The 17759-nt window shown below is 41.9% G+C and overlaps 1 protein-coding gene and 1 long non-coding RNA gene across 4 annotated transcripts in view, besides 2 other annotated features; one reads left to right on the top strand and one right to left on the bottom strand.

Moving 5' to 3' along the window:
* Positions 1 to 13412, bottom strand: part of PPM1E (protein phosphatase, Mg2+/Mn2+ dependent 1E) — a 229326-nt gene extending 215914 nt beyond the window's left edge. The window contains exon 1 of one of the 2 annotated variants that reach the window (NR_048561.1): positions 12805 to 13397. Coding sequence is in view for 1 of the 2 variants with exons in the window: in NM_014906.5 (NP_055721.3) it covers positions 12805 to 13268 (464 nt within the window). In the remaining variant the exon portion in view is untranslated. Of the gene's footprint in view, positions 1 to 12804 lie in introns of both variants that reach the window. The other variant, NM_014906.5, reaches the window with a different exon arrangement.
* LOC105371843 (uncharacterized) overlaps positions 13156 to 17759 on the top strand; it is a 31958-nt gene continuing 27354 nt past the window's right edge. The window contains exon 1 of one of the 2 annotated variants that reach the window (XR_007065866.1): positions 13156 to 13235. This is a non-coding gene — a long non-coding RNA (uncharacterized LOC105371843). The remainder of the gene's footprint in view (positions 13236 to 17759) is intronic. The other variant, XR_007065865.1, reaches the window with a different exon arrangement.
* Positions 13256 to 13404: a silencer, noted in NCBI's record as "fragment chr17:56833223-56833371 (GRCh37/hg19 assembly coordinates)". NCBI's record gives its function as "represses an EF-1alpha promoter that drives an FKBP-Casp9 reporter gene in an ReSE screen in phorbol 12-myristate 13-acetate-treated (for megakaryocytic differentiation) K562 erythroleukemia cells {active_cell/tissue: K562(+PMA)}" and the evidence as "EXISTENCE:reporter gene assay evidence [ECO:0000049][PMID:32094911]".
* Positions 13404 to 13593: a silencer, noted in NCBI's record as "silent region_8775". NCBI's record gives its function as "represses an Ori minimal core promoter by ATAC-STARR-seq in GM12878 lymphoblastoid cells {active_cell/tissue: GM12878}" and the evidence as "EXISTENCE:reporter gene assay evidence [ECO:0000049][PMID:35858748]".

Raw genomic sequence — 17759 nt, 5'->3', positions numbered from 1 at the left:
GAGACATTTGTTGAGTAGATGATGGCTGCATTAGGAATTAAAATTATATAGAAAATAGGTACCTTCAGCTATTTAAATAATTAGTAATGAAATTGAAAAATTTAAACAGATTGCAAGATTAGTCAAGTACTAAATGGAAAAAAATATCTCCAGGCATCTTAGTAAGTGAAAAATAATGCATTTTTTTTTAATTTTTGCCATTGTTATAAGCCATATACCAAGCTGTGAACTATTTTTTTCAGTCTATTGTTTAAAGAATTTCTGGATTCTAAATTATGTTTTTAATAAACAGCAATAGGCCAGGCGCATTGGCTCACACCTGTAATCCCAGCCATTTGGGAAGCTGAGGCAGGTGGAACACCTGAGGTCGGGAGTCCAAGACCAGCCTGACCAACATGGAGAAACCCTGTCTCTATTAAAAATACAAAATTAGCCAGACATAGTGGCATATGCCTGTAATCCCAGCTACTTGGGAGGCTGAGACAGGAGAATCACTTTAACCCGGGAGGCAGAGGTTGTGGTGAGCCAACACCGTGCCATTGCACTCCAGCCTGGGCAACAAGAGTGAAACTCTGTCTCAAAAAATAAAATAAAATAAAAATAAAAATAAACAGCAATAATTGTTAACTTTTTCTTTTCTTTCATTAGAGGCAAGAGTTTAGAGAAATATTTGGTGCAAAACCCTTAGACGGCTCTTATCTATAGGTAATGCCTGAACAAGATACTTTTTTGGGTGGAAGATAAAATAAAAATCCAACCACCCTATCCGCCTCCAAAGGAAGGTTTATTCTAGTTAGTCAGGGAAGCGGATGCTCTTTGGAGAAGAAACAGCATCTACAAAGGCAGAAAGACAGGAAATAACGTATCTTTAGAGAATCAGGGTAAGGGCCAGGCAAGGTAGCTCATACCTACAATCCTAGCACTTTGGGAGGCCAAGGTGGGTGGATCACTTGAGCCTAGGAATTTGAGACCACCCTGGGCAAAATAGAGACCGCCATCTCTATTTTAAAAAATAGCAGGGCACAGTGGCTCATGCCTGTAGTCCTAGCACTTTCAGAGGCTGAGGCGGGCAGATCACTTGAGGCCAGGAGTTTGAGACCAGCCTGGCCAACATGGTGAAACCCCATCTCTACTCAAAATACAAAAAATTAGCTGGGCAAGGTGGCAGGCACCTGTAATCCCAGCTACTTGGGAGGATGAGGCAGGAGAATCCTTTGAACCTAGGAGGTGGAGGCTGCAGTGAGCCAAGATCGCACCACTGCACTCCAGCCTGGGTAACAGAGTGAGACTCTGTCTCTAAATAAATAAATAAGTATAAATTTTAGGCTGGGCGTGGTGGCTCACACCTGTAATCCCAGCACTTTGGGAGGCCGAGGTGGGCGGATCACCTGAGGTCGGGAGTTCGAGACCAGTCTGACCGACATGGAGAAACCCCATCTCTACTAAAAATACAAAATTAGCCCAGCGTGGTGGTGCATGCCTGTAATCCCAGCTACTCGGGAGCCTAAGGCAGGAGAATCACTTGAACCCAGGAGGCGGAGGTTGCGGTGAGCTGAGATCGTGCCATTGCACTCCAGCCTGAGCAACAAGAGCGAAACTCCATCTCCAAATAAATAAATAAATAAATAATTTTAAAAGAGAACCATAGTAAGTTCAATAATGCTGGAAAATCCAGTGAAGCTAGATTAAAAGGAAAAAAGACCAGTGTCAGGGAAATTTGTTGGGAGGCTACTAAGGTAATCAAGGCAAGAAGTGATAAAAGCCTGAGCTAAGCAAATGGCAGTAATCAAAATTCAATTTCTACATTTGCATTGAAATTTTTCCCCGTAGGAAATGTTTGTAATGTAGCATGAGAATCATAAAATGAACATCATAATTATAATCTCCCAAGTCTGACTGCCTAGGTTAATGTCCTGGTGACACTGCTGATGGTGAAAACTTGTTCTTTAAATTCTGTGTGCCTCAGCTTTTTCATCTGCAAAACAGGTTAATGATAAAAATCTTTATCATATATTTTTATGATGATTAAAAGAGGTAATAAATATAAAACAATGCCTAAACGAGGTCTCACTGAATATAGTACACAGCAGCAAGAGAAACAGGAACAGGTGTCTACTATTCATACTTGTACAATTGTTATTTTGGGTGTAGACAATGCTGACCCTCTGCAAGTTTACACTGTTAACTCTTACAGAAAGATACTTATCAATCCAAGATGAGAGAATATCCTGGGCAAAGGGTTTTTATTAGACACAAAACTGTTTTTGTTTTGAAACACTGAAAATTGTTTCTAGATTATAGTTAACTTTCCATGTGACCCCGAAAAAGCTGAAAATATTTTTGTTTCTCTGATTATATATAAGTATATTGTGAATAATAGGACCAATATCTTTCCAAGTAATAAATAAAACTATTTATAAGCTGCCTTGAACCACTTTGAACTAATAAATATTCAGAGTTGCCAGAAATCAAATCTCAGAACTTAAGAGATCATTCCTTTTGCAAAATCAGTGATAGCTGAATTTAATGATTGTCATCTCATATTTATGTAATAACATATTAGATTGCATAAAGAACATGTTTACAACCTAATTCTTGCCCTTTAGCATTTTAGCCTTTTAGTATTTTTTACTGTGTGTGTGTGTGTGTGTGTGTGTGTATACACACACATATAGTACAATATACTTCTCAAAAAAACAGGCTTACTAGTATCTTAGTTTTTGTATTTAGATTCACAACATAGAAAAATGTGACTAAGAAATTACAGGCTGGGTGCAGTAGCTCACACCTGTAATCCCAGCACTTTGGGAGGCTGAGGCGGACAGAACATGAGGTCGGGAGTTCGAGACCAGCCTGACCAACATGATGAAACCCTGTCTCTACTAAAAATGCAAAAATTAGCCAGGTGTGGTGGCCCGCACCTGTAATCCAAGCTACTCAGGAGGCTGAGTCAGGAGAATCGCTTGAACCTGGGAGGCGGAGGTTGCAGTGAGCCGAGATCGTGCCACTGCACTCCAGCCTGGGCAGCAGAGCGAGACTCCATCTCAAAAAAAAAAAAAAAAAAAAAAACAGAAATTACAAAAATAAGCCAGGTGCAGTGGCTCACACCTGTAATCCCAGCACTTTGGGAGGCCAAGTAGGGTGGATGACCTGAGGTCAGGAGTTCCAGACCAGCCTGGCCAACATGGTGAAACTCTGCCTCTAATAAAATACAAAAATTAGCCAGGTGTGGTAGTGCACACCTATAATCCCAGCTACTTGGGAGGCTAAGGCAGGAGAATCGCTTGAACTTGGGAGGCGGAGGTTGCAGTGCGCCGAGACTGGGCCACTGCACTCCAGCCTGGGCAACAGAACGAGACACCATCTTGGAAAAAAAAAAAAAAAAAAAGAAACTACAAAAATATTAAAGACCAGAGGTTGTGCTTTGTGGTAAAAAGCAGGTCAAATACTTTAATCCATAAAAGACAACAATGGTAATGTTTCTATAGTGATCTTATAAATCATTATGGAATCAAGTCACCAGGAAAAAAATTATCTTTCATACTTCTAACCAGGAGATTATTCTTTTGGTTCTTTTTTTTTCTTAAACTACGCTAGGTAGTAATGAACTAGTCTTTCTCAGAGCTATACACCAGAGTATTCAGTGAAAATATACATGAAGAATTAAGAATACTCTCAATCTTTTAAACAGTTCATTACTCTTCATATAGTATTATACTTCAAACTTGTCATTGTTCACAATATTCTCAAATAATTCACATGAGGATACTGTTTTAAATCCATGAAAAATGGCCAGGCATGGTGACTCACGCCTGTAATCCCAGCACTTTGGGAGGCCAAGGCTGGAGGATCACAAGATCAGGATTTCAAGACCATCCTGGCCAACATGGTGAAACTACGTCTCTACTAAAAACACAAAAATTAGCTGGGCATGGTGATGCGTGCCTGTAATCCCAGCTACTCGGGAGGCTGAGGCAAAAGAATCACTTGAACCAGGAAGTTGGAAGTTGCAGTGAGCCGAGATCGTGTCACTGCACTCCAGCTTGGTGACAGAGCGAGACCCTGTCTCAAAAAAAAAAAAAAAAAGAAAGAAAGAAAAATGTTCATTACAAAGTTTTGGAATGCTAATCAGTAATAAGAATTGCAAACGTTTCTATAGCTAGTTGAAAATGTTAACAAAGCAAAATAAACACACACCAACAAAAACATAAAATAAGAAGCCAACCTAAAGGGATGTGGGAATGGAATACTTTCTTCTTTTTCTTCCCTTATCCTCTACCTTTCATGGGAGAGCAGAAAAGGAAAATAATAATAAAGAGAAAGATGATGATGATAATAGGCCTATACAAACCTGGAAAGAAAACAACTAGTAGGCTGGGCATGGTGGCTCACACCTGCAATTCCAGCACTTTGGGAGGCTGAGGTGGATGGATTACTTGAGGCCAGGAGTTTGAAACCAGCCTGGCTAACATGGCGAAACCTCATCTCTACAAAAAATATAAAAATTAGCCGAGCATGGTGGCATGTGCTTGTAGTCCCAGCTACTTGGGAGCTTGGGAAGTCAAGGATGCAATGAGCCATGATTGAGCCACTACACTCCAGCCCGGGTGACAGAGCGAGACTCTGTTTCAAAAACAAAAAAAACAAACCAAAAGAGAAGAAACTAGCCAGGCATGACGGCACATGCCTGTACTGCCAACTACTTGAGAGGCTGAGGCAGGATGACCCCTTGAGCCCAGAAGTTTGAGGCTGCAGTGAGGTGTGTTCACGCCACTGCACTCCAGCTTGGGCAACAGGCTGGCTCCCAAAGTGCTGGTACTACAAGGGTGAGGCACTGCACCCAGCTAAGTGGCTCTAATGTCAATATGAAATGCCAGTCTCTAATTTAATATGAAATGTTATATTTCCTCATTAATTTTAAATATTAATTAAAAATGGTTAGATATGTGTTACAGAATTAAAGTTTTTGTTGTTGTAGTTGTGGTTTTTTTAAAAAATAGCAAATCTAAAACAAAATTGTTTGTTATGGTAGCCATTAGCCCCATATAATTATTAAGTATTTGAAATGTGATACTCCAAATTGGGATGTACTGTAAGTGTAAAGTACACACAGGATTTTAAAAACTTGGTATAAAAATATAAAATATTTTATTAATAATATCTTAATATGGATTACATGTTGAAATAGTAATATTTTGGATATATTGAGTTAAAATAAGTTTTTTTAACTAAATTCACCTGTTTCTTTTTAATTTTAAAAAGGTGGTTAATAGAAAATTTTAAACTATATGTGGCTCATATTATATTCCTATTGGACTTTAGGCAGTTTAGACTTTTAGGCATCCATAAAAGACAACAATGGTAATGTTTCTTTAGTGATCTTATAAATCATTATGGAATCATAATGCCCTCTTCTAAAATGCCCTAAATCAAGATCATATTCAGCTATAAGCATTCTTTCCTACATGGTTCAGTAGCAATAATGGAACACAACTGTGTTAAAATACAAGCTTCACGGTATGGCAGTTCAAATGGTAGCAAGAACGTAGAGAAATCAGACTCCTCATACAGTACTGCTGGACAAAACAATTTGGCAATACCTAATAAATTTAAAATGTACTTATATCAATCTGACATTTCCACTTCTAGAAACATACCCAAGAAACCTAGGAACATATGCACAAGGAGACATGTCCAAACTAGCATTATCTGTAGGGCAGGAGCCACCAAGCTACCCACCAAGATTTTGTACTCTTTGTCCATAGTGTAGAGTTGTTTCTTGGAATTAACTGCCAAGCCAGCAATTTATTTCCCAGCCCCCTTTTTTAGGAAATGTAGGTCCCAGGTGGTGTCATATGACTTGAATTCTAGCCAATGGAAAATGAACAGAAGTGATATATGCCACTTCTAAGGACTGGCCCTTAAAAACCTCAAACACCATTCTCTACTCCCTTATATTTGCTGGATAAATGTTGATGCCTAGAGCAACGTTGGAAACCACAGGTTAAAAAGGACAGAGTCTCCATCAGCCTGGGTTCCTTAATGACTTCACAGAACACAGCTCCTCCTTCTCCACTGAAGGAACTCTATATAAGCAAGAAATAAACTAACATTATGTTAAGCCTTTGAGATTTGGGGATGTATCCATTAGAGCAGTCAGTATTAACTTAATATATGTGTAAAAATTAAAAACAACTGACATGTCCATCAATAGGAGATTGGATAAATCATAGTATAATCATACTATAGAATGATATACAGTAGCTACAATGAAAGAACTAGATCTACATGGATCAACATGAATTTTGTTTTAAGTTTAACCTCAAAATAGCTAGTTACCAAAACAAATTTTTTTTTTTTTTTTTTTTGAGACGGAGTCTCGCTCTGTCGCCCAGGCTGGAGTGCAGTGGCGGGATCTCGGCTCACTGCAAGCTCCGCCTCCCGGGTTCACGCCATTCTCCTGCCTCAGCCTCCCAAGTAGCTGGGACTACAGGCGCCCGCCACTATGCCCGGCTAATTTTTTTGTATTTTTAGTAGAGACGAGGTTTCACCGTTTTAGCCGGGATGGTCTCGATCTCCTGACCTCGTGATCCGCCCGCCTCGGCCTCCCAAAGTGCTGGGATTACAGGCGTGAGCCACCGCGCCCGGCCCAAAACAAATTTTTTAAACACATATGTTGACCATACAAATTCATATGTAGTAAGCGTGAGAGAACTATAAGCTCTTAACTTTTATGTTTCTTACACTTGCATTATCAATATTATGTTTAACTCATGATTTTGTCATAGAAACTTTTTTTTTTTGAAACAAGGTCTCACTCTGTTACCCAGGCTGGAGTGCAGTGACATGATCATGGTTCACTGCAACCTCAACCTCCTGGGCTCAAGCAGTCCTCCCATCTCAGCCTCCTGAGTAGCTGAACTAAGTTTTGTAGAGACGGGGCCTTGCCATGTTGCCCAGTCTGGTCTCGAACTCCAAGACTCAAGCAATCTGCCTGCCTCAGCCTCCCAAAGTGTTGGGATTACAGGAATGAGCCACCAAGCCCAGCCATCTTCACAGGAACTTTTAAAGCCAATTTTCCATTTCATGAGGGCTAATTTTGTTAAAACCAGGAAATATAATCCATAAATCTATTTACTCAGGCACAGATAAACTGTAATAGTTTGTAATGGCCTAAAAATTGGAGAAAGGATGCCACGGTCAACCCCCATAAGCTGTGGAATTTGCACTCCCTCAGAATACCACACTTACCATGCTTCACATGAAATCAGTCGTCATACAGAACAAGTTGCCAATCTCAATAAACATGTCAAATATTTATAGCACTTAATTTCGTATGTTATACACAAATAAACAGATGATAATGTTTTCTTCCTTTGCCGAAATGAAGTATTTTAGGTGCAATTGACTTTGGAGACCTCTGGTCTAGTGACGGAGATATAAATATTTGCTGACAAAAAATAATAAATTAAACCAAGTACTTACAAGAGGAATGGCATTGGGTATTATGGAAAGGAACGTAGAAGGGACCCCTAACTCATGATGAGTGTGAGGACGGTAAGCAAAGGCTTCCTCAAGGAAGAGGTGTTAAACAGAGAACTAAAAAACGGGTAAGAAATTGGATTGTGTTGGGAGTGGCTATTGGGGGAACATAGTATTCCAAGCAGAGGGAAAAATATACTATGTGCAAAGGTGCAGAGGCAAAAGATAACACAATACCTTCAAAGAAATACATTAGTTTAATATAGCTGAAGTGTAGTTTCTGGAGGGGTAGAGCTGGGATGAAGTGGGTGGATAGTGATTCCAGAAATAAAACTAATGAAGTAAGATTATAAGCCCTTACCTTTGGATTTTATCTAGAGGGCAAAAGAGAGATAGGTGATGAAGGATGTGGAGTAAAAAACTTGTCCAAAGAGAGGTCCAGATGTTGCCCCCAGCTCCTGGGAGGTAACCTCTAAGCCCCTGGAATTTCTGGAGTAATATGAGTATTCTTACTATTCATGATGGGTCCCTTGAACCACATAGTATCAGCCTAACCTCTGGAGAGGGGAGACTGGAAACTGAGTTCAACCATGCAAACAATCAATAAATCTCAATGAAAACTCTGCTGAGGTAAGAAGATCATTTGAGCCAGGAGTTTGAATCCAGCGTAGGGAATATAGTGAGACCCCATCTCTTTAAAAAACAAAACACAAACTCCAGACACACTAAAGTTTAGGTGAACTTCTTGGGTGGGCAATACCTTGTGTGTATTTCCATACATCCACACATTCATGCTGGGAGGGTATGGAAGGTATATTCCCTGAGAACAATGGAAGTTTCATATCTGCAACCCTCTTAGACTATACCCTAGGCATCTCTCTTCCTTTGACTAATTTGTAGCTTGTCTTTGTAATGAACTGTATCTCTAAGTATAATAGCTTTCAGTGAGTTCTATGAGTTTTTCTAGTGCATTACTGAATCTGAGGGTGGTTTGGGGAAACCCCCAAACTTGCAGTTGATGTTAGAAGTGAGGTTTTGCATAGCATCTTCATTTGAAATTTGTAGTTGCACCCTAACCCCTTACAATAGGATCAGAAGTCTTGAGCAGACTTGGCAGAGTAGAAGACTGTGCCCTTAACCTTAGAGTTTGGCTAACTCTGGGTAAAGGGTAAAAATGTTTAAGCAGTGTGACAATTAAACATTTTGGCTACACTGGGGAAAATATATTGCAGAAGGGTAAGACTGGCAAGAGATGACAATGACAGTGGGAATGAAGAAAGACATATTTAAGAGGTATTTACGAGGTAGAATTAACAAGATGTGACTGAATGTGAGAGGTGAAAGGAGAAGTCAGGGAAAGGAGAAGTCAGGGATGGACCCACCAGAAAGAGTATCAGGTTTTGGTTTTGTTTGTTTTGGGGGCCGTAAAGAGGGTTGGAGGACTGAATTCTGTTTTAGACAGTTTAATCTGAGGAAATTTTGACATCTAGGTAAAGCTGTTCTAGCAGTCAAAGAAAGGATGGAGATAGAGTTGGGAGCCTTTAGCATAACTACAATAACTGAAGTCATGTGACAGATTGATATTGACTAGGGACAAATAAGTCAACCAGACAAAAGAAGGTCAAGGACAGAACACCAATATTAAAGGGGTAGGCAGAATATTAAAAGCTCACAGAGAAGAAGTGGGATAGCCTGAGAAGCAGGAGAAAAACCTGGAAAGCATGATTAACAATGAATGGTATTTTTCCTCTTTTTGCTTATGTGAATGTTCTCCACTTCTTTATTTAATAAATGTGAACGTTTATTATTTTTGAATGAGAAAAAAATGTGCAACTTAAAAATTGGTATTATATAACATGAATCCATATATTTTTCCATTTATATATTTGTAAATTAGATAAAGTTTAATGATTTTCTGACCTAATCCAAAGTCATTAATGATTCACACAATTCAATGTAACTGAATTATTAGTGTCTATAACCAGCGATTTTCTTTTCCAAGCCATTTTTAAAGTGTCCACCCTCATTATTACTGCAAGCCATCTGGAACTACTTAACTGTGCCAGACTCTTGGGATATTGGTTTCCCCCTTGGGAAGTCCAACCCAGACTAAATGAATAACTGAGGAAACAACTGTTCTGAAAATATGATGACAATATAGCTCTAATAATGACTTTATCTTCGTTTAATAGTCTACTGGTAAAAAATGGAAAGAAAAAAGACTTCAGAATATTTGCTTCTTCTGGATTAAAACAAATATATGTTATCTCTAGTAGTGTATAGAGAAATTAAATACAAAATATTGACCCATATAAACTACACAGATAGCCTTATATTCACATCTCCTGTAAGATCAGTTATACCCTTATTTACAAATTATCTCAGTTATAAAATCTCTCACCTCCACCTTTTCAAAGGGCAGCCTCTCCTTAACCTCAGAAATTCTCAGATTGTCATTGAAATTATTTTAATCTCTTGGGGGATTTAAACTTAGAGAAAGGAGTAAAACGTAGGTAACTTTTTTTTTTGAGACAACGTCTCACTGTCACTCAGGCTGGAGTACAGTGGCTCACTGCAGCCTCGGCCTCCTGTGCTCAGGAAAGCCTCCCACTTCAGCCTCCCAAGTAGCTGGGACTACAGGTTCACACCACCATGCCCAGCTAAGTGTGTTTTTATTTTTTGTTTTATTTTGGTGGGGGAGTGGAAGGTGGGCGGACAAGGTCTTGTTCTGTCACCCAGGCTGGAATGGACAGCAGTAGGATCTTGGCTCACTGCAACCTCCGCCTCCTGGGTTCAAGCGATTCTTGTGGCTCAGCCTTTTGAGTAGCTGGGATTACAGGCATGCACCACCATGCCCGGCTAATTATTGTGTTTTTAGTAGAGACGGGGTTTTGCCATGTTGGACAAGATGGTCTCAAACAGGTGTTCCGCCCACCTCAGCCTCCCAAACTGCTAGGATTACAGGCATGAGCCACTGTGCCCGGCAAAAACTGTTTTTAAACCTGTTAAGGACCTTAAAGATACTTTACATGAACAAGCCAGCCATTTTATATCTGAATAAAAATACATTAACAACTTCTGTACAAAACACAATATAAATGATGAAATCTCTGATTTAAGCGGAAATATTTTCCAACTTTAATTTTGCTAGTTTTATTTCAAATCCAAACTTCTGTTCTCAACTAGATGGCCATTTTATCATTTCAGTTTTTTCTAGTTTATACCTATATCAAAATTAATCTTTTTTTTTTTTTTTGAGACGGAGTCTTGCTCTGTCACCCAGGCTGGAGTGCACTGGCACAATCTCAGCTCACTGCAACCTCTGCCTCTCGGGTTCAAGCGATTCTCCTGCCTCAGCCTCCTGAGTATCTGGGATTACAGGCGCGCGACACCACGCCCAGCTAATTTTTGTATTTTTAGTAGAGACGCAGTTTCACCACGTTGGTCAGGCTGGTCTCGAACTCCTGACCTCATGATCTGCCACCCCGGCCTCCCAAAGAGCTGGGATTACGGGAGTGAGCTACCGCTCCTGGCCGCTTCTATATGAAAAAACACACATCTTCTTGCCATCATCTTTAAATAAGTTAAAAAAAAAAAACCTTCTTACATGGCAAATGTTCAGGGTTGTACTAAAATAATGACCTTATTTGGACACTTTCTAAAGTTTGAATTGGTTTAATTCTGCAAACTGCATTTGTAAAGGTAAGAATTAACTGTCAAGATAGAGCCAGTCTGCTGCTAAGATAAATTCCCTTAATAAACATTTCCATTTTATTTTAAGCAGGGAGCTTTATCTTTAAATACTGTAAAAAATTACATCTCAGAAGCCCTTGTCTATGATAGTTCACAAAGACCAGATATACTCTAAAATGTTAATACTGTTTATCTCTGGGTGGTGGTATTACACGCCATTTTATATTTTACGTTTCTCAAAAAGCATCATTACCTTGCTAATTGACGGTAATACTGTAATTGAACAGTATTTTAAAATTAAATTTTAGATAGCTTATATTATGAAATACCAACACAGTCCACTTCTATGGAAGATTTGTTAAATGATTTTCCCCTATTGATAAACTGCTGCTTTAACAGGAGAATGATCTGATCAGGTGTCTATTAGCTTGGATGAAGACAAAACAGGTTTACTTTCCAGGCCCTTCTTTTCTTTAGGCTTTTGAGAAAATCCCAAAAGTGAGTTTGAACTTAATTACAGCGAATCTTGCAGTAGTAAACTTTTTGGGTGGCCAGAGTAACACCTTTCATTACAACTATCAGCTGAATGGCAAAAGACTTCCCAGGTTTACCAATGTTTTCAGAGACTTACTAGTATTCTCCTCTGTCATTATTTCGGAACAATTCCATTGAGAAACGCAATTGTAAACCGTTTCTATTTCAGGCCTATAAAAACCAGAACTGGGATGAAAGGCAAAGCCTTGACCTTTCTATTTTAGACTTTCATCTGTGTAGCTAAGCCATCTGCTTTCTCCCCACCCCATCCCATCTACTTAATGGACTGAAAATACTGCACCTAATTGCAATTTAATCAAAACAGCCTGACTTTTCCACTTTAATGAATTATGGCTCTTTCACCCGAAGGCTTGCTTGCAAAATTTTGCTTACCCTTCCCTCTCAATTCCTTCCCACTTCCCTCAATTATGGAATGTCAAATGTCTAAACTAAGAGACTAGGCTTCCCTGTGTGAAAACATCTAAAAAGCCCTTCACTTTCAACACTGAGCACCTGACGGAAAATCTACTCCATTCTCTCATCTGGATACGGGGCCGGTATAACCATCATTGTTGCAGTTACGCAGGAGGCACCTCGCAGCTCAGTCTAGAAAGGAGTCGCGTCTCTGCCGCCAAACAACAAGGCACTCAGCCCGGGAAAAGACAGACTGGGGTGGGAGGAAACCTCCCGGAGAAAGAAGGGATCTGGGAAGAAGAGGGAGCTCAAGCCTGGGAGGAAGGACCTTTCCAGGCAGGAAAGGGAAAGGTTGCGTGAAGTGGAGCTAGAAGCTGGGGGCCGAGGTGAAAGGGGATGAGGGGCCCGGGCCCGGCGGGAGGGCGCCGGGGCTCAGGAGAGCGGCTTCAAGGCCGGGTAGGAGGCGTGGGGGCCGAGGCGGGCGTGGGGGCCGAGGCGGGCGTGGGCAGCTCTCAGCCGACCGCCCGGGTCCGAGCAGCGGGGGCGCTTTCAGCGGCGGCAGGCGCGGGTGCGGGGGAGAGGAGCAGAAAAGAGAGCAGTTTGAGGGGCCGAGGGAGCCGCGTCCGAGGCCGGCGCGGTGGGGACCGCGGGCCCACCACCAGCCAAGCCCAGCTACTTAACTATTTGTAGAGCTGCTGCAGGCACAGGTCCAGGCTTTCGCCCTCCACCTCCTCGCGGGTGATGCGCTCTGACAGCGGTCGCGGGAGCGGGGGCAAAGGCGGCAGCTGGGGCGGCGGCGGCGGCACGGCCGAGTGCCCCGGGGCTGCCGCCGCCGTCGCCGCGCCCTCCTCCTCCTCCTCACCCTCAACCGCCGCCTCCTCCTCGGGCTCCGGGTCTTGCTCCTGGTCCCCCTCCTCCGTCGCGGCTACCGTGGCCGCCTCCTCCCCGGGTTCCTCTACCGAAGCCTCGGCCGCCTCAGCTTCTACCAGTTCAGGTTCGGGCTCGGGCTCGGACTCGGGTTCGGGTTCGGGTTCGGGTTCGGGTTCCGGCTCCGGCTCGCCGCCGCCGCACGGTCCGCGAAACTCGCCCAGGAATAGCTCCAGGAAGCGCCGGTAAGTTTTCTCCTCAGGGATGCAGCCGGCCATCGCTGCTCATGCCCCAGGGCAGACCGGGAAAGGGGTTGGGGGAAGCCCAGGAAGGGTAAGGGGCTGCTTTTGAGCCTAGGGCTCCGGCAAGGGCGGTTAACGGCCGCACCGGCACGAGCGATCAGCACTAGGTTGCCTGGAGAGGGCTCCCGCAGGCGTGCGCGCCGCCGAGCACCGACGTGCGCGGCCCGGGGGCGGAGCGCGCCGCCCCTCTCGGATCTGGAGGGAAAGTTGGTGGCGGGCGCGCGCAGGGTCCAGCGGCGGCCCACCCTTTATTCCTACGGAGAGCTCAGCCCACGCTGCCTAGAGACTGTCGCCATGGCAACCGGTTCTAATTAAGCATTGCAGGGTCCCTCCCGTCGAGTCCGCGGAGTCTAAAGGACACTCCACTCGCCCGCTCTCCAACTCTGAATGTCTTTATTGGTTGGATACCCTACCCTCACGTGGTTAAGAGTGAGCTAAGACATCTCCAAGTCTAGCTGTTGGTTCCCACTTGGGTTGCTTGGATCCCAATTGGATGTACTTCCATTTCCTTATCTGTTCCTTGCCTTAGCGTATGTTTTGAAAGATACCACACTGTGAACACCTTTTGTTGCAGTCTTTGAATAAGTAGTTTTCAGGCAGAGGGAGCTTCAAATACCTACCAAGTGATAAGTTCCTTTGCATAGGTTCTCTCTCACTTGATTCTGTGAAGAAAGTGGTGTTACTCTCATTTCTTAAAAGGAAACTGAAAATTATGATATTAATGGTAATTTACTTGTTTCAAGGTCTCCAAACTTCCAGCCTTGGCGTTGGAGAACTCAGGTCGTTCAGTCGCCAAAGCTTTCCGAAAGTGCATTTTTCCTTAACTCAACTCTGTCTCCGGAGATTCAATAGTGCAATTGTCTGTATAACACCTTATTTCTATTGGGCTTCATAGTTTACACATTGATTTCACCCTTTTAATTCTTACCACAGTCCCTTGAGGTATAGGACGTTACCGTTATGATTTTTTTTTTTTTGAGACAATCTCGCTCTTGTCACCCAGGCTGGAGTGCAGTGGCGCGATCTCAGCTCACTGCAACCTCCGCCTCTCGGGTTCAAGTGATTCTCCTGCGTCAGCCTCCCAAGTAGCTGGGATTACAGGGGCCTGCCACCACCCCCGGCTAACTTTTGTATTTTTAGTAGAGACGGGGTTTCACCATATTGGCCAGGCTGGTCTCAAACTCCTGACCTCAGGTGATCTGCCTGCCTCAGCCTCCCAAAGTGCTGGGATTACAGGTGTGACCCACCACGCCGGCCAATTATTCCATTTTATAGGTGAGAAAACAGCCTTAAAGACATGGTGACTTTGCTCAAGGTCACATGCAAGGGATGCAACAAGGACTCAATCCAGGTCTTTTCACTGGATTCACCCACTTCAATGGATTTTACCCATTAGTTTTCAGGCAACCAAGACTCCCCTCTTTAGTCTCTGCATAATGCATATTATACTTCATTATATAATATGTATTTTTTCTTTTCTCTTTCTTTTTTTTTTGAGACGGAGTTTTGCTCTTGTTGCCCAGGCTGTAGTGCAATGGCAGGATCTCGGCTCACTGCAACCTCTGCCTCCTGGGTTCAAGCGATTCTCCTGTCTCACCCTCCTGAGTAGCTGGGATTACAGGCATGTGCCACCACGCCCGGCTAATTTTTTTGTCTTTTTAGTAGAGACAGGGTTTCACCATGTTGGTCAGGTTGGTCTCGAACTCCTGATGTCAGATGATCCGCCTACCTTGGCCTCCCAAAGTGCTGGGATTACAGGCGTGAGCCACCGTGCCCGGCCAATAATATGTATTTTTTCTACATTTTGTTTGCTCTTCTTCCCCATCCCCCCAAGTCTCTTTTTTTCTTTCTTGGGTTGGAATTGAAATGACTTTAAGTGATTCTAATTTTCTTACCAAACTACACACAAACCTATTATTTTTAAGCCTTACTGAAGGAGTGGGAGAGAAAGAAGCTGTGTTGTTATACAGCTGTATAGATGATAGCATCATTACTGCAAACTGCCATGTCCATGGCAACATATAATTCAGCAAAAACATAGTGATTCTTTCTCTACTTTGAAAAACATGTTCTCACAAATTATCCACCCCATCCTCTCCATGTATTGTTTCTGGGTTTCAGTTGGATTTAGGGTCTGAAATATCGTTTCCAGTTATTAATGGCAGAAGAGGGAGTCTCTCTGCCAACTGTTTTCATATAATACTGTATTCTAAATCCCTGACCTGATACTGTTATTTTAAGATTAAGTGGGTTGAGCTCACTAATGTACATTATGGCATCATGTAAAACAGAGTTCCTCTCCTAGCTTGAGATTAAATAATACATGATAGAAAGAATATAGTGAATAATTGCCTTGAGTCCTCTATATTTTTTTCCCAAAGGTAAATGGAAAGATCTAATAAATCTGTTTCCAGAAATGCTGAATGTATTTATATGTGTTTTGTTTAAAACATAACCAGCGTAGAGCAACTTCTCTATGAGGTGCCAAGAAAGTCTTTAAACTCCTCATTTGTCTTTGTTTTCAATCCACCTGTTCATTTCCATTTCAGAATGTCTAGAAAAGATTGACAAAACTTTTTAGGCTGCAAACCTAAATGTCCACAATTTTACATTTCAACAATTGTTTAATATCTCAGAATTTGACATAATGACATTTAGTTCAAGAGTACTTAGCTGTCAACTGTAACAATTCATATCTACGCCTTCCTACTTTGTAACATAGTTGCCTCCCTCATTTGTGACATTAATTTATGACTCAGCCCACATTTCAAAGGAAAGTGATATATGTTGGGGAAACAATACTACTAAAAGAAAAAGCCCACACCTCTACATTACTATAAGTGAGAGGCGTGTTTGCTTATATTAATAAAGATATTCCTTCACAAAGATCAATATGGATCCTATTGCATCCATTTGACAAAGTAGCTTTGCCAGAAGGTAGCTGACAGCAAGTGCTGAGATCTCAGAGCAGCTGTGTAGGATGATTTTGCCATTGTCAAGAAGTCTTTAGTAATTATTTTGCATTAGTTTGCTCTCTTTTTCAACTCCTTTCTTATTACACTTTTCTAATCCCCTTGCATACTATCTATTAAAAAATATTGAGGGCTGGGCATGGTGGCTCACGCCTGTAATCCCAGCACTTTGTGAGGCTGTGATAGCTTGAACTCAAGAGTTCAAGACCAGCCTGGGCAACAAAGAAAAACCCTGTCCCTAAAATATATTTTTTAAAAAGGAGGCCAGGCGCGGTGGCTCATGCCTGTAATCCCAGCACTTTGGGAGGCCGAGGCGGGCGGATCACGAGGTCAGGAGATCGAGACCATCCTGGCTAACACGGAGAAACCCCATCTCTACTAAAAATACAAAAAATTAGCCGGGCGTGGTGGCGGGCGCCTGTAGTCCCAGCTACTTGGGAGGCTGAGGCAGGAGAATGGCGTGAACCCGGGAGGCGGAGCTTGCAGTGAGCCAAGATCGCGCCACTGCACTCCAGTCTGGGTGACGGAGCGAGACTCCGTCTCAGAAAAAAAATAAATAAATAAAAAATAAAAAGGAAAAAAAATATTGTTATGAAAAGTTTAACGTATTTTTAAGGTATCAAATTTTTAAAGTTTTTCTCATAAAAATTATTCTCCCTCTAACCCTTTGCTCTTTGGAGGAAATGTACAATGTCCTTTTGTGGACATTCATAGTAATGACATTTATAAGGTTAAAAAGAATTGTTGAGTTTGGCAGTTTCTTACATGACCCAGCAATTCCTCTCCCAGGTATTTTATTCATGAGAAATAAAACATGTCCACCAAACACACATGCACTTGCACACACCCCAAACACAAAAAAACTTGTACATAACTGTTCACATAAGTTTCATTCATAACAGCTCAAACCTGGAAGCAACCCAGATGTCCATCAACAAATGAACAGATAAAGTAGTGTATTCATACAATGGAATACTACTCAGCAATAAAAATAAATGAACTGCTGATAAACACAACATGGATGAATTTCAAAAATATACTGAGCCAAAAAAAAAAATCCAGGCACAAAAGAGTACATAATATATTTCCATTTGTATAAAATTCCCAAACAGGCAAAATTAACCTATATAGTGAGAGAAAGCAGATTCCTGGTGGCCTGGGACTGGGATGGGGTGGGAGATTTGTAGCAAAGGAGTAAGCAGGAACTTTGTGAAGTGATTAAAATGTTCTGTATCTTGACTGATTGGTCATATGGGTGTACTCATTTGCCAAAAATTATTGCCAGGCAGGGTGGCATGTGCTTATAGTCCCAGCTACTCTGGAGGCTGAGGCAAGAGGATCGTTTGAGCCTAGGAGTTCAAGGCTACAGTGTAATATGATTGCACCTGTGAATAGCCACTGCACTCCAGCCTGGGCAACATAGCAGAATCCATCTCAAAAAAAAAATTATCCAAGTCTGCATTTAAAATAAGTATATAAATTGTATATAAATTGT

The sequence above is a fragment of the Homo sapiens genome, chromosome 17 (genome assembly GCF_000001405.40).
Source record: "Homo sapiens chromosome 17, GRCh38.p14 Primary Assembly".
Lineage (NCBI taxonomy): Eukaryota > Metazoa > Chordata > Mammalia > Primates > Hominidae > Homo > Homo sapiens.
The sequence above is the reverse complement of the archived record's forward strand: the minus strand, read 5'-3'. Positions and strand labels throughout refer to the sequence as shown.